Genomic DNA, 16,265 nt, shown 5'->3' with positions numbered 1-16,265 from the left:
CTACGAGGTAACCTGTGTGCTTCTCTGAGATCTTATTCCTGGGTTTGGACTGCCCTTATGAATCAGCTCAGAACATGGCCTGGCGTTTGTGGCTGACTTGGTACAGATTAGCCGGGTGCATTAGCAGCACCTGTATTCCCAGCTACTTGGGAGACTGAGGCATGAGGATCACTTGAGCCTGGGAGGTGGAGGTTTCAGTTAGCCCAGATTGTGCCACTGCATTCCAGCCTGGAAGATGGAACAAGACTTTGTCTCAAAAAAAATTTAATCATTGAAAAGTAAAATAATAATTGTCATCAAAATAATGTTTCTGTGTTCAAATGGGTGAAATCTCTTAATATGTTGGAAAATGTTTTAAATCCTTTATCCCCTCATCAGCAGACAAGAAGCTACAGTGGATGGAAACTCTGTAAGAATTGTGAAGAGGTCTTCAGGGAGCTGTTTTTCCTTAAGACACACATGAGAGCTCAGAATGGAGGGAACACTTTTGAGGGTAATTGTTATGGAAAAGACACCCTTAGTGTGCACAAAGAAGCCTCTATTGGACAGGAACTTTCTAAATTTAATCCATGTGGAAAAGTCTTCACCCTAACTCCAGGCCTTGCTGAACATCTTGAAGTTCTCAATGCAAGACAACCGTACAAATGTAAGGAATGTGGAAAAGGCTTTAAGTGTTTTGCAAGCCTTGATAATCACATGGGAATTCACGCTGGTGAGAAACTCTGAATTTCAGGAATGTGGGAGAACCATCACACCCTCCTCACACCTAAAGCAGTGTGTAACAGCTCATACTGGAAAGAAATTCAAAAAGACTAAGAAATATGGGAAATCCTTCACTAATTTTTCTCAACTTTCTGCACATGTGAAAACTCATAAAGAGGAGAAGTCCTTTGATTGTAAAGAATGTGGAATTTCCGTTAGAAATTCCTCATATCTTAATGATCACATTCAAACTCCAACTGGAGTAAAAACCACACAAATATACAGACTGTGGGAAAGCCTTCACTAGATCAATTCAACTTACTGAACATGTAAGAACTCACACTGGGGTAAAACCCTATGAATGTAAGGAATGTGGGAAAGCCTTCACTCAGTACACGGGCCTTGCTATACACTTACGAAGTCACAGTGGAGAGAAACCCTATCAGTGTAACAAATGTGGAAAAGCCTTCACTAGATCCTCAGGCCTTACTCAACATACAATAATTCAGATGGGAGAGAAGCCTTATGAATGTGTTGAATGTGGAAAAACCTTCATTACTTCTTCCCATCGTACTTAACATTTGAAAACTCATAGTGGAGAAAAGCCCTTTGTATGCAAGATATGTGGGAAAGCATTTATATTTTCCTCATCCCTTAATATTCACCTGCAAACTCATACTGGAGAGAAACCCTTCATATGTAAAGAATATGGGAAAGCATTTATTGTTTCCTCACACCTAGGTAGACATAAAATCATGGCTGGGCACAGTGGCTCATGCCTGTAATCCCAGCACTTTGGGAGGCCAAGGTGGGTGGATCATGAGGTCAGGAGATCTGAGACCATCCTGGCTAACACGGTGAAACCCCATCTCTACTAAAAGTACAAAAAATTTGCCAGGCATGGTGGCATGCACCTGTAGTCCCAGCTACTCAGGACGCTGAGGCAGGAGAATCCCTTGAACCTTGGAGGCAGAGGTTGCAGTGAGCCGAGATCGATTGAGCCACTGCACTCCAGCCTGGACAACAGAGTGAGACTTCATTTCAAAAAAAAGAATTCACACTGGGGAGAAACCCTATGAATATAAGGGTATGAGTGTTACCATTTAGCTCATCGGTTGCCATCTTTAATTATTGGCAGTGACACCAGAAGATTATCAGATTTGTCCTAAATGCCTTGTGAGGGTTGTAATGGCTGATGGACTGGCCTTAGATGCCATCCCAAGAGTCTGAAATTAAACCTACAGCTTCTGAATACAACTTCATGGTTGCCTGAGTCTTGGTATCTGTGAAGAAGGGTCATGGATGGTGAGGTCAGTACTGCAGGCTGCCTCACCTTGCTGATTAGATTCCTAAGATCATAGCATTAACAAGTTCTGTGTGAGATAAATCATGCAGATTGACCCCAGCCCCTGTTGGTTAGTGGCTGCCAGTGGCACATTCATGTCAAAATTTACCAGAAGCCAAGATAATGTAGGCCCCAGAGTTGGGTTGTTAAAAGATGCTCCTCCAAGAGTCTTCTCTGTTCCCAGGGATCCTGCAGATCATGGCAGGAATGAAACCATCTTTTACTGCCAGTGCACTTTCAAAGCTGATTATTTCTGTGACCGCTTCTTGTAAAATCTAAGAAGTGTGACAGCCTTGCCTGTTCTGTTCTGCCTTCTCTGTCCATTTTACATGGCACAATGTAAGTGGCAGTGTCTCTTCTAGTGTAATCCAGTCTCTCTCCTCATTTCTCTTAAGATGGCTGATATAGTCCATGAATCCCACTCATGATCTCTTTATGAGATGATTTTTCAGCCACACTTTGAGGATTCTCTTCAGTACAAGTTTTCTAATTTTTGTAGTATGAATAGGCTGAGAATTTTCCAAATCTCCAAGTTCTGGTTTCTTGTTCCTTAACAATTTATTCTGCAATTCAAGTCTCCTCTTTTGCATTTTCCTGTAAGCAGTCAGGAAGAATGAAGCTTCCTGTGTCCTTTAACACTTTAATTACAGATCTTAGTGATAAATACTCAATTTTATCTCTCTGAAGCTCTACCTTCCACAAAATGCTAGAATACAGTTCTGCCAAGTTCTTCACCACTTTATATCAAGGGTTGTCTTTTCTTTATTTTCCAATAGCATGTTCCTCATTCCCCAGTGACACCTCACCAGAATTACCCTTATCAACCTTATTTCCAGCTTGCACATCAGAACTTTTCGAGCTTCTACTCATTTGTCAGTTTCAAAGCTGCTTCACGTTTTTAGTTTTTTGTTTGTTTGTTTGTTTTTAATTGCAGTACCTCTACTTCTCAGTACAAAATCTGCCTTAGCTCAGGCCACCATAACAAAATACCACAGACCAAATGGCTTACAAATCCATTTAATTTTAAATAAGTGAGGTTAAAACCACAGAAATCTATTGTTGGAACAAATTTTTAGTGCCACAAAAGAAATAGCATTTGAATATAAGTTTTCTCAGCTAGGCAAATTTACTTGTATAGAAGAGTGTATCTTGTGGGTGGAGCAATGGCGAGAGCACATCACACAATGGAGAGCATTTTTAATGGAGAGGGTTTTTAATCCCTAACCCTGTTGGCCTTAGTTGCTGTTTCATTCCCCTATTGGTTGGGGTCGGCCGCACAGTCTAAGCTAAATGTAATTAGCTAATTAGAAGAGCGCAGGGAAGAACAGTTTCTGCGGGTAAAGCTGTTACAGCAGGGAGGGGGTGGTTTCCTGGCGGGCATGTCTGAGCACAGCAGGGCAGGAGGGGTTGATAGATTGGCAGGCAAGAATTATTTAGACCAGGGAATAAGACTTCAGGAGAGACAGTACAAGGAAGTGAAGACCTCATGGAGAAGAATACCTTGTTTGTAACAAAGTGAAACTCTTTGAAGAGGAACTGTTTGAACTACTTGTTTTTAACAATTTGACCCCTCTTGAATTTATACACTTCCTTCTTTAAATTTATTTAACGTGGCTTGAATTTGTCGAATTTTTAAAAAATTATTATCTAGAAGGAAAAGTTTGTCTGAATAGGGTAGGGGAGAATTGGGGAAGGTTTTAATGAGAGCTGTTTTTATAAGCCTCTAAATTAGCTTATGGATGCAAGGGATAATACAACACTTAACAAGAATGATCACATTTAGTATAATAGCAAGGGAAGTGAGGATTTAGGACGTAAGTCCTTTTAACTTGCTAAACCATTTTTCAATAAATTAGTGAAGGGATTATTTATTTTAGAAATTTTAGCTAGCTTATTGGACAAAGTAGTAATGCCTTGTAGTACTTTTGTTATGATTCATTGGTGGCAGTGCTATTAGGGATAAAAGTACAACATTTAGTTTTAATTATGACACAAATTCTACCTCTTTTTTTTTGCTAGTATTATATTTAATGCTATTTTATTTTCTTAAGTCATTTGACTGATGAGCCTTAATTGTTGACCTATTTTTTTAATAGCATCTTTGGTATAATTAAATTGTTGCTGGTTGTAATAGATGTAATTCATTTAACTTACATTTTTATTTATAGTCAACTATCAGAACAATATAGACTCAAATCCTGCAGCTATTTGGTTATGGGCCTTAAATTTATTTGGTACTCTTTGTGGAACTTCAATAGTATTTATATAAACATGAGGATTAAAGGACACACGAAGGGCATTTTTTGTTTTTGTGGTCTTTTGCCATTATCTTTCTTGGTTGATGAAATGAGAGGGGGAAAAGGATGGCCTTTTCACCTGGAAAAGGCCTAGAGCATAAGTGCCACCCTAATGGCTTGGCAGAGTACCCAGCAATAGTCCCTCGCAATACCACTACACATCTGCTTGGGGATGAACAAGGCAGACTGATTGGTAAGCTCTTGAAAAGGCTTGGTTTCACTGCACCCTGTTAAGTCTCCAAGGAATGCTAACTTTTCCCCCTGCAGTGAAAGGCACGAGGTGAAGTTAATATTAGGGACTGGAGGCCAGATGGCCCTCAGGGGCTGACCCTTAGGGCTCTTGACCTCAGGGAACAGCAGTGAAAGAGTTTCGCATGACTCATCGCCCCAGGCTGTGGGGTTTTGGAAGGGGGCTAGCATACAGCTACCATACTGTTTATGCCCAGCTGCCATACAGCTTATGCCCAGTCCATGAGAGGACCACCCAAGTGGAAAGGGGACAATTTGGGTCTCTGGCTTGCCTGTCACACAAGAGTAACAGTCGCTTTTGTTTAGCATGTGAACAGAATATTTAATCCATTCCAGCCAAGCATTTGTGTCTTGATATCCTGTTTAATTGCTATAGTTTGTTTTAAATTTTTAACCTCTGTAACAGGTACTTTGGTTTTATCATTGGGTATATAATGAGAAAAGATTTGATTAGCAGAGAACTTTGGAGAGGGAGAAGGGGGTGCAGGAGGTGGGGAAACAATGAAGTGCATTTTAAAGGATCCTAAAGCGTCCTTCCCTGATACTTCTGCTCTTATACTATAGACGTAGCTTAATGAAGGGGAAGAACTCTGGGGAGCAGAGATGGTAATCTGTACTGGATTATGATGGTTCAGCTGACAATTGGGAGGGGTAAGTGCTTTAGTAAAATAAATATAAGGTTTTAAGAAACTGCAAGTACTAGTTAGAGCAATCTATCCTTGTTCTTTAGTATTTTATAGAGCATTGGACCAACTTTGGCAGAGAAGCTCTGCCCTAGGAGGACAAGATTCCAGTTTATACTGGAATCTTTGTCAAGCTATTTTTAAACTAACTTATCCTAGTTAACAGATTTTTAGTCTGAGGAGAGCTAGGAAGGACAAAGATACTTTTCTGAAGTGGAGTGTTACCTCTGGCTTGGTAAATCTCCACAGAGCATCAAAAGGCAAGCATTAAAAGTAATAGTTTGGGGTGAACTTGACTTAGTTACATTAATCATGAGAGGACTAGTAATAGAAGGGGAAAAGAAAGAGTTGCAACATAAGAGGATTAAACCCGTTTTAGCTTTAGCTTGTTTGGAGTTGGCCCTGGAATAACTGTCCATGATTCTGGAGGGGGTGGTGCTTTTTTGACCCGGGTGTGATGGGTCCATCCTCTTTGCTGTTTCAACTGTGGTCTTGGTGGTTAGAAGCACTAGGAAGGGTCCTTCCCAAAGCCGGTTCGAGTTTTGCTTCCCTCTAGCTCTTAATGAAAACGTGATCTCCAGGTTGATGCAGGTGTGCTGGGAAATCCAGGGGTGGTGCCTGTGCTAAAAGGCCTTTAGTTCTGAGGGAAGAGAGAGTGGAAGGTAGACTAAGTATATAGTTTTTGCAAAACTGATTTTTTGTTTGTTTGTTTCGAATGTAGGAATGTCAGCAGTGGAGTGTAAATAAGGCAACCCATATACCATTTCATAAGGGGATAAGCCACCATCTTTCCGAGGGGCATTCCTGACTCTTAACAAGGCAATGGGGAGGCATTTAGTCTATGGTAACCGAATCTCTAAAACTAATTCGGTTAGATGAATTCTTAGAGTTTGTTTTTTTTATATTCTTCCTGATGAAGGTGGGTGCCGGGGGTATGGTATTTTTATGTTATGATTAGTACTTGGGCTAATTTTTTAACGGCATGTGCAGTGAAATAAGTCTTATTTTCTGAATCAATATTTTCTATTAATCTAAACTTGGGTATAATGTTTTCAATTAATGCTTTAACTACATTACTGGCTGTTGCACTTGAAAAGAGAATAGCCTCTACCTAGTGAGTAAGGTGATTTACATTACTAGTAGGTACTTTAGGCAACCAATTTGGGGCCATTTTGGTGTAATCAGTTTGGACACTTTAGAACGGCCTTAATCCTGGCTCCCTTCCTCCAAGGGGTGACTTTCTTAGAGTTTGCTTATTAGTGTATATATATACACACACACACACACACACACACACACACATATATGTATGTATGTATGTATGTATGTATGTATATATTAGGTAACTATCTGTAAGTTGTTTGCCAGAGTATACATTTTTACACATCCATAGACTCTGAGAGTTGCATCACATATAGCTTGGGACTTAGGCTGCTGAGTGGGGAGATGGTGGAGGCACGGCTGCCCAGGCTCAGGCTGCTGCGAGGTCTGCTCTCCTCTATCAAGGGTCAGCTATTGGGTCCAAATGACAGGGGCAAGAGGATGGTGTGGGTGCTGTGGCACCCAAGCAGTCTCCTGCCTCCTTTTTCTACTAGTTGCTGTCTCTCATAGTTCTCAATCTCTCTCCTCACCTGCTCACTCACTTTTTGTCTCTTTGTCTCCTGTCTTTTCCTCTTTTTTTATTTTTGCAATTTTTTTTTTTTGAGATGGAATTTCGCTCTTTCTGCCCAGGCTGGAGTGTAATGGTGTGATCTCAGCTTGCTGCAACCTCTGCCTCCTGGGTTCAAGCGATTCTCCTGCCTCTGCCTCCCAGGTAGCTGGGATTATAGGCGCTTGCCACCATGCCCAGATAATTTTTTGTATTTTTAGTAGAGACAGGGTTTCACCATGTTGGCCAGGATAGTCTCGATCTCTTGACCTCGTGATCCACCTGCCTCAGCCTCCCAAAGTGCTGGGATTACAGGTGTGAGCCACTGCTCCTGGCCTCCTCTCTCTTCTACACTATTTCTCTCCTTAGTCTCACTTTCTGTGTCCCTCTCTGATCTCTGTCTCGTTTAGTCTCTTTCTCACTCATTCTCTCCTTCTATCTCTGTCTCTAATTTTTTTGTTTCTCTCTACATTTTTTATTTTTAGACTCATAGGGTTTTTTTTTAAGTCTCTATCTCATTTGCAATCTCTCTTTTTTTCTCTCTCTCTGTCATCCCCTGTTTCTTCTCTGTTGGGAGCAGGCCCCTCAAAATGTGGCCATAAACTGGCCCTAAAACTGGCCATAAACAAAACCTCTGCAGCACTGTAACATGTTCATAATGGCCCTAATGCCCACGCTGGAAGGTTGTGGGTTTACCGGAATGAGGACAAGGAACACCTGGCCTGCTCAGGGCGGAAAATGGCTTAAAGGCATTCTTAAGCCACAAACAATAGCATGAGCGATCTGTGCCTTAAGGACATGCTTCTGCTGCAGTTAACTAGCCCAACCTATTCCTTTAATTCAGCCCATCTCTTCATTTCCCATAAGGGATACTTTTAGTTAATTTAACATGTATAGAGATAATGCTAATGACTGGTTTGCTGTTAATAAATACGTGGGTAAATCTCTGTTTGGGGCTCTCAGCTCTGAAGGCTGTGAGACCCCTGATTTCCCACTTCACACCTCTATATTTCTGTGTGTGTGTCTTTAATTCCTCTAGCACCACTGGGTTAGGGTCTCCCTGACTGGGCTGGTTTCGGCAAGTGGTGTCCATCGTGGGGGTTTGAATCCAGGTTGAAGTGTCACCAGAGCGATGGTTGGAATGGAAAACTAGCTGGAGGACACCCGAGCACTCTTAAAGCAATCCCCATGGTGAGTAAGAAGGGGAGCTTGGAAGCATCAGGGTAACAATGGGACAGGTGTGGGGTCTGGTTCGTTTCACCTTGGAGCTTTTTCACGCTGATGATGATGAGGAACTAGAGTATAACAAAGTAACAGAAGAGGTTACAGAGCAGGTTTATTTGCCAGCTAAAGCTAAAGCAGCAAAGGAGGGAGAGGTTCATCTCTACCCTTCTGCACCCCGTCATTATTATTTTGAAGAAAAAGACCCTCCAGATCTTTCTTTTCCGGAGGACACTGGGTGAAAAGTAGTTGCCCCAGTGACTGTTTGAGCTCAGGCAGGAATTCAGCAAGCTAGACGAGGGGTGATTTAGAGGCTTGGCAGTTCCCTGTTAGAATACACCCCCTAGATCAACAGGGAAATATTATAGCTACATTTGAGCCTTTTCCTTTTAAATTCAGGAAAGCACATTTAGTTGATTATATCAAGTCCTGTGATGGTATCGGAGGTAATCTGCATAAAGCTACTTTGTTGGCACAGGCAATGGCAGGACTGAGAGTGGATAAAGGAAATATTCCATTTCCTGGAGCTTGTTTTAACTGTGGGAAGCATGGTCATACTAAAAAAGAATGTAGAAAAAATCAGCGAGTCAGCCTGCCAGATAGGGGAAGAAAGAAAACTGCTGATCCTGAAATATGTCCAAAATATAAAAAAGGAAAACATTGGGCTAATCAGTGTCACCCTAAGTTTGATAAAGATGGGAACCCAATTTCAGGAAACACCATGAGGGGCCTGTCCTGGGCCCCATTCTAAAGTGGGGCATTTCCAACTCAGGCCGTTCCCTCACCCCTGTACAATATCTGTCCCCTGCCACAGCTGGTAGTGCTGCAGTAGATTTATGCTGCACAAAAGCTGTAAGCCTTCTGCCTGGGGAAGCCTTGCAAAAGGTCCCAACAGGAGTCTGTGGACCCTTGCGAGAAGGGACAATAGGATTACTTTTAGGAAGGCCTAGTTAAAGTTTAAAAGGCATACAAATACATACAGGAGTCATTGATTCAGATTACATTTGGGAAATTCAAATTGTTATATCTACTTCTGTTCCCTGGAAAGCAGAGCCAGGAGAGTGCATACCACAGCCCCTGATTGTGCCACATGTGGGAATGGGGAAAAGTGAAATTAAGTGAACAGGAGGATTTGGAAGCACAAATAAACAAGGCAAAGCAGCTTATTGGGTAAATCAAATTACTGATAAATGTCCTGCCTGTGAAATAACTATTCAGGGAAAGAAATTTAAAGGTTTGGTAGACACAGGAGATGACATTTCAATCATTTCTCTCCAGCACTGGCCATCCACGTGGCCAATTCAACCTGCTCAATTTAACATAGTTGGAGTTGGTAATGCCCCTGAAGTATATCAAAGTAGTTATATTTTGCATTGTGAAGGGCCCGATGGACAACCTGGGACTATTCAACCAATTATAACTTATGTACCTATAAATTTATGGGGAAGAGATTTATTACAACAATGGGGAGCACAAGTTCTAATTCCAGAACAATTATATAGCCCTCAAAATCAACATATGATGCATGAAATGGGGTATGTCCCTGGTATGGGACTAGAAAAAAATTTGCAAGGTTTGAAAAAACCACTTCAAGTGGAAAGACAAAGTTCCTGCCAAAGATTGGGATGTCATTTTTGATGGCGGCCATTGTTAAGCCTCCAGAACCTATACCTTTAAAATGGTTAACAGATAAGCCAATTCGGATAGAACAATGGCCGCTAAGTAAAGAGAAACTGGAGGCTTTAGAGAAATTAGTTACTGAACAATTAGAAAATGGGCACATAGCTCCAACATTTTCCCCTTGGAATGCTTCAGTTTTCTTAATTAAGAAAAAATTAGGTAAATGGAGAATGTTAACTGACTTAAGAACTATCAATTCAGTTATACAACCTGTGGGAGCATTACAGCCAGGATTGCCTTCTTCTGCTATAATTCCAAAAAATTGGACTTTAATAGTCATAGATATAAAAGAATGTTTCTTTACTGTCCCTTTAGCTGAGCAAGACTGTGAACGGTTTGCATTTACAATTCCAGCAGTAAACAACCTGTAGCCTGCTAAGCATTATCATTGGAAAGTGTTGCCACAGGGCATGTTAAACAGTCCAACAATTTGCCAGATGTACGTGGTGCAAGCAATTGAACCTACTTGTAAAAAATTTTTGGTGTTACATTATTCATTATATGGATGATATAGTTTGTGCTGTCCCCATTTGAGAAATATTACTCCAATGTTATGATCACTTGCAAAATTCGATTTCTTGCACTGGTTTAATTATAGCAACCGAGAAAATTCAGACTACTACTACTCCTTACTCCTACTTGGGGACCTTAGTAAATGACACTATCATTGTGCCACAGAAAGTAACCATATGTAGGGATCAATTAAAAACATTAAATGACTTTTGAAAATTACTAGGGGAAATTAATTGGATACGACCTGCTCTAGGCATTCCTACCTATGCCGTGAGTAATCTGTTTTCTATCCTTAGAGGAAATCCTAGTCTCACTAGCCCTTGGCATTTAACAAAGGAGGCTGAGGCAGTTACAACTGATTGAGAAACAAGTCCATAAAGCTCAAATAAATAGAATAGATCCAGAGAAGACTCTAGATTTGCTAATTTTTTCAACTCAGCATTCACCTACTGGTGTTATTTTCCAAGAACAGGACTTAGTAGAGTGGGTTTTTCTTCTACATACTAATTCATGGACTCTAACTCCTTATTTAGACCAAATTGCTATTATGATAGGGATTGGGAGAACTTGGATTGTTAAATTACATGGATATGATCCTGGAAAAGTTATTGTCCCTCTCACGAAGGCACAAATACAGCAAGCTTTTATAAATAGTCTTACTTGTCAAACCCATTTAGCTGACTTTGTGGGTATTCTTGATAATCATTTTCCTAAAACAAAGCTGTTTCAGTTTTTGAAATTAACTAATTGGATTCTCCCCAAAATAACTAAATTTAAACCAATTGAAGGTGCTGAGAATGTTATTACAGATGGGTCTAGTAATGGTAAAGCTTCTTATTTTGTCTCAAAAAGTAAAGTTTTCCAGACGCCCTATACTTCAGCTCAAAAAGCGGAGCTTCTAGCAGTAATTGAGGTATTGACTGCTTTTGATATGCCTATTAATGTGATTTCTGATTCTTCATAGTGGTTCATTGCAGACAGTTAATTGAAAATGCTCAGTTATTATTTCATACAGATGAACAACTGATGACTTTATTTACCCAGTTGCAAACAGCAGTTAGAAGTAGAATGCACCCTTTTTACATCAGTCACATTAGGGCTCATACACCTCTTCCAGGACCTTTGACTGAAGGGAATCAAAAGCCTGATTGCCTAGATGCTAATGCAGTATCTAATGTTAGACATTTTCACAATTTAACCCATGTTAATGCCTCTGGTCTCAAACGCAGATACAGAATTACCAGGAAAGAAGCTAAAAATATTATCCAGTGATGCCCAACTTGCCAAATGGTACATTCCTCATCTTTTACAGGAGGAGTTATTCCTTGAGGATTGGAACCTAACTCTTTTTGGCAAATGGATGTCACACATGTTCCTTCGTTTGGGAGACTAGCTTATATATGTGTATGTGTGGACACCTTTTCTCACTTTATATGGGCTACATGCTAATCAGGAGAGTGTTTGGCCTGTCTGAAACATCATCTTTTGCAGTGTTTTGTGGTGATGGGCATTCCAGCTTCTATTAAAACAGATAATGCCCCAGGATATACTAGCCAATCTCTAGCTACATTTTTCTCTATGTGGAGTATTAAACACATTACTGGTATCCCATACAATTCTCAAAGACAAGCCATAGTGGAAAGAATGAATCTCTCCCTAAAACAGCAGTTGCAAAAGCAGAAAAGGGGAGACGGAGAATATGGAACCACACAGATACAACTGAATCTAACATTATTAACATTAAATTTTTTGAACCTGCCCAAAGGCCAGATGTTATCAGCAGCTGAACAGCATCTACAGAAACCAGCTGCAAAGACAGAAACAGAACAACTGATTTGGTGGAGAGATCCAATAATAAAAAGATGGGAAATAGGTAAAATAATAACTTAGGGTAGAGGTTATGCTTGTGTTTCTCCAGGCCAAAATCAACAGCCAATTTGGATACCATCAAGACACCTGAAACCTTATCATGAGCCAGATGCCGAGGAAGAGACTCCGGGAGGATCCCAAGGACCCCCCAGTTGCAGCCATGTCAAGACTGATGCTGAGGAGGACCCCAACTGTCACGAGTAACACCCGTTGAACACAGCCACCCACCTGGGGACAGATCAAGAAGCTGTCACAGATGGTGGAAGAAAAACTGAGGAAAGTGGGACAACCAGTCACAATGAATAATTTAATGGTAGCTATCATAGTGGTTATCACCACTGCTGTGAGTATTCCTTCAATAAGAGCTGACACAGAGAACAATTATACTTATTGGGCATATTGATCAATCTTGGCTGGCAATAATGCCTGGATGCAATCACTCTATGACCCAGTTACACATGCTTTCTGATCTCAGTATTTACCATAATAAATCTGCTCCTATAATTGAGGCATACCACCCTCAAAAACCTATTTGTAAACAGGATTGGACCCAGTTAGAAAAAATGAATGTGCTTGTTTAGGAAAATTGCATTGCAGAACAGGTAGAGGTGCTACACAATGATTCCTATGGAATCTTTATTGATTGGTCCCCTAAGGGGATGTTTAGCTTGAATTGCACCTCTCAGTCTGCATGCCCCAGCCACACTATGTTCAGCTGGTCTGAACAAAATGGTCAGATGGTAGAAATGATAAGAAGTACAACAAGAGTTCCTATTATCTGGAACCATAGCAGTATAGTGGCACTTCAACCTCAAATGATATGGCTCATTGTAGGAGCTAAACATTAAGGATTTGTGGAAACTATTAATAGCTCTTAATAAGATCACAATTTTGGAAAGAATAAAAAAGTATCTAAAAGGACACTCTACAGACTTGTTTTTGGATATTGCAAAATTAAAAGAACAGATTTTAAAACATCCCAGGCACACCTGACCTTAATGCCAGGAACTGGGGTGCTTAAAGGAGCTGCAGACAAATTAGCAGCTAGTAACCCATTAAAATGGATAAAAACACTTGGAAGCTCTGTAATTTCAATGATGATTGTGCTTTTAATCCATGTTATTTATCTTTGTATAGTCTTCAGATGCAGATCCTGACTCCTATGAGAAGTAGCTCACCATGACAAAGCTCCTTTGCTTTTATCAATCTGCAAATCAAAGAAGGGGGACATGTTGGGAGCAGGCCTCCCAAAATCTGGCCATAAACTGGCTCCAAAACTGGCTATAAACAAAATCTCTGCAGCACAGTAACATGTTCATAATGGCCCCAATGCCCGCTCTGGAAGGTTGGGGGTTTACCGGAATGAGGGCAAGGAATACCTGACCCGCCCAGGGTGGAAAACTGCTTAAAGGCATTCTTAAGCCACAAACAATATCATGAGTGATCTGTGCCTTAAGGACATGCTTCTGCTGCAGTTAACTAGCCCAACCTATTCCTTTAATTTGGCCCATCCCTTCATTTCCCATAAGGGATACTTTTAGTTAATTTAACATCTATAGAAACAATGCTAATGACTGGTTTGCTGTTAATAAATACGTGGGTAAATCTCTGTTTGGGGCTCTCAGCTCTGAAGGCTGTGAGACCCCTGATTTCCCACTTCACACCTCTATATTTCTGTGTGTGTGTCTTCAATTCTTCTAGCGCTACTGGGTTAGGGTCTCCCTGACCGATCTGGTCTCAGCATTCTCTCCCTCACACTCAGTCTCTTCCTCTTTCTCACTTGGGACATTGTCTTTTAAAGTGACCTATTTTTTCACATTTGAAACAATTTTTCTGTCTTTTTTTTTTCTTCCTTTGAGTCTCCTGGCTTTACTCTTTCATACATTTTATATCACCTGGACAGTGGTGGTCTAGGTTCTTTATATGTCTGGCTCCCTTGGTACTTTGTTGTATGGTGGACAGCAAGATTTTTGCCTTTTGCTTTTGTTTTTCTTTTTCTCTTCTTACATATACTGTTTGGGATTTTTTTTTTTTTGAGACAGAGTTTCACTCGTTGCCTGGGCTGGAGTGCAGTGGTGTGATCTCAGCTCCTGCAACTTCTGCCTCCTGGGTTCAAGTGATTCTCCTGCCTCAGCCTCCCAAGTAGTTGGGATTACAAGCAAGTGCCACCATGCCTGGGTAATTTTGTAACTTTAGTAGAGATGGGGTTTCTCCATTTTGGTTAGGCTGGTCTTGAACTCCTGACCTCGGGTGATCTGCCTGCCTTGGCCTCCCAAAGTGCTGAGATTTCAGGCATGAGCCACTGCACTGGTGTTTTTTTGGGCTTTTTAAAGAAACTCTTCTATAGGTCTGTATTTCTGGTTCTCTATTTTTTGTAATATTTTGTTAATATCTGGCCAACGATTAGTAACAAAATGAAGCTTTAACATCCCTCATCTGAGGGGGTCTTCTATTCTAGATTTGCATATTTCTCCATTTGCTCTTTGAGTTTTTTTCAGAATTTTATAGGTCATTTATTTTTTTCTTGTTGTGTATTGAAAGCTTTTGTAATGTTTTGGATACAGGGTACAGATTCTCTAATTCTTTTAATTATCATTTCTCTAAGGTCTTTTCATTATTCTTCTAATATTTTAACATTAGGCCTAGGGGACTATCAGGGGAATATTATTGTTGCTAGCTTTATCCTTTTTCTTACCTTGTTTGGGGTATTTCCCATCTTGATGGTTTTAGGGTGAGGCTCAATCTCCCCTACTGGAGATTTCTTGCCTTTTGGGGTAAGTCTCAATTTCCCCTACTGGAAATTTCTTGCAATATGGGGTGAGGCTCAATTTCCCCTAATGGAAATTTTTTGCCTTCCTTGCTACTGGAGGTTCCTGTGAGGCTCAATCCCCCCTACTGGGAATTTTTTGCCTCTTCTTTCACTTCATCCTTCTCTAGCCATGTTAGGTCCCTCTTGGCATTGGTGGGTTGGTATAAACCCCCATCCTGGACTCCTTTACAGGTGGGTCACCCTAAGCCATATGAGGTGACCACAGAACTGCAGATCTAGACTTAACACTCATTTCACATGCAATTGTGCATCTTATTCATACACTATTAACTTCCAAGATACCCCTTCCAAGGAATACTTCACCACCCCCGCAGTTTTTCATGCCTTGGTGTGTCCTCACCAAGGAATATTTCACTGCCCCTGTGGCTTTTCTTAGCTTGGTCATGACCACCTAGGAAATACTTTGCCAGCTCCTGCAGCATTTCTTACCTTGGTCTGTGGACAGAGTTATCTGGTCACCACGGTATTTGTAGGTCTTTTCTTCCCATGTTGCTGAGAGTCCGGGTTTATTCATCACACTAGGGGGGTCTCCATTCCTTACCCCTGAGGCTACTGCAATGAGGCAGTGGGGCATGTGTCCTCACAGGAGAGGATGGAAAACCCTCTGGGAGGAGAATGGGGTCCTTGTACAGGCCACCAAATTGTTAGAAACATACTATTTGTGCTGCAAAAGAAATAGCAGTCGAACATAAATTTTCTCAGAAAGTCAAATTTACTTCTACAGAAGCATGTGTCTCGTGGATGGAGCAATGGCAAGAGCTCATCAGACAAAAGACAGCAGGGGTTTTTAATCCCTAATGCACTTGGCCTTAGTTGATGTGTCATTCCCCTATTGGTTGGGGTTGAACCACACAGTCTAAACTGAATGCAGTTAGCTAATTTGAAGAGTACAGGGAAGAACAGTTGTGGCAGGGAAGGCTGTTACAGCAGGGAGGGGGTGACTTCTTGGTGGGCATGCCTGAGCACAGCAGGATGGGAGGGGCTGATAGACTGGTGGGCAAGGTTAATTTAAGCAACAGGGAAATAAGACTTCAGGACAGACAGTACAAGGAAGTAAAGACCTCTTGCAGAGGAACACTTTGTAACAAAATGAAACCCTTTGAAGAGGAACTATCTAAACTACTTGTTTTTAACATTTATATTCGCATGTTTCTGGAGGCTGAAAATCTGAGATCAGAGTGCCAGCATGGCCCACTTCTGGTGAGAGCTCTCTTCCTGGCATGTAAAT

At 41.0% G+C, this 16,265-nt stretch overlaps 1 long non-coding RNA gene and 1 pseudogene across 1 annotated transcript; one reads left to right on the top strand and one right to left on the bottom strand.

Annotated features, from left to right (window-relative positions):
- On the top strand, nucleotides 381-1,459 carry LOC100130854 (zinc finger protein 562 pseudogene; annotated as a pseudogene).
- On the bottom strand, nucleotides 3,049-15,799 carry LOC105372270 (uncharacterized). The gene is made up of 2 exons (NR_187774.1): nucleotides 15,467-15,799; nucleotides 3,049-5,916 (listed from the first exon to the last, which is right to left on the bottom strand). It is a non-coding gene; the product is annotated as an uncharacterized LOC105372270 (long non-coding RNA).
- Nucleotides 15,800-16,265: the final 466 nt, after the last annotated feature.

Source organism: Homo sapiens, chromosome 19 (assembly GCF_000001405.40).
Source record: "Homo sapiens chromosome 19, GRCh38.p14 Primary Assembly".
NCBI lineage: Eukaryota > Metazoa > Chordata > Mammalia > Primates > Hominidae > Homo > Homo sapiens.
This window is presented reverse-complemented; position numbering and strand designations above follow the sequence as displayed.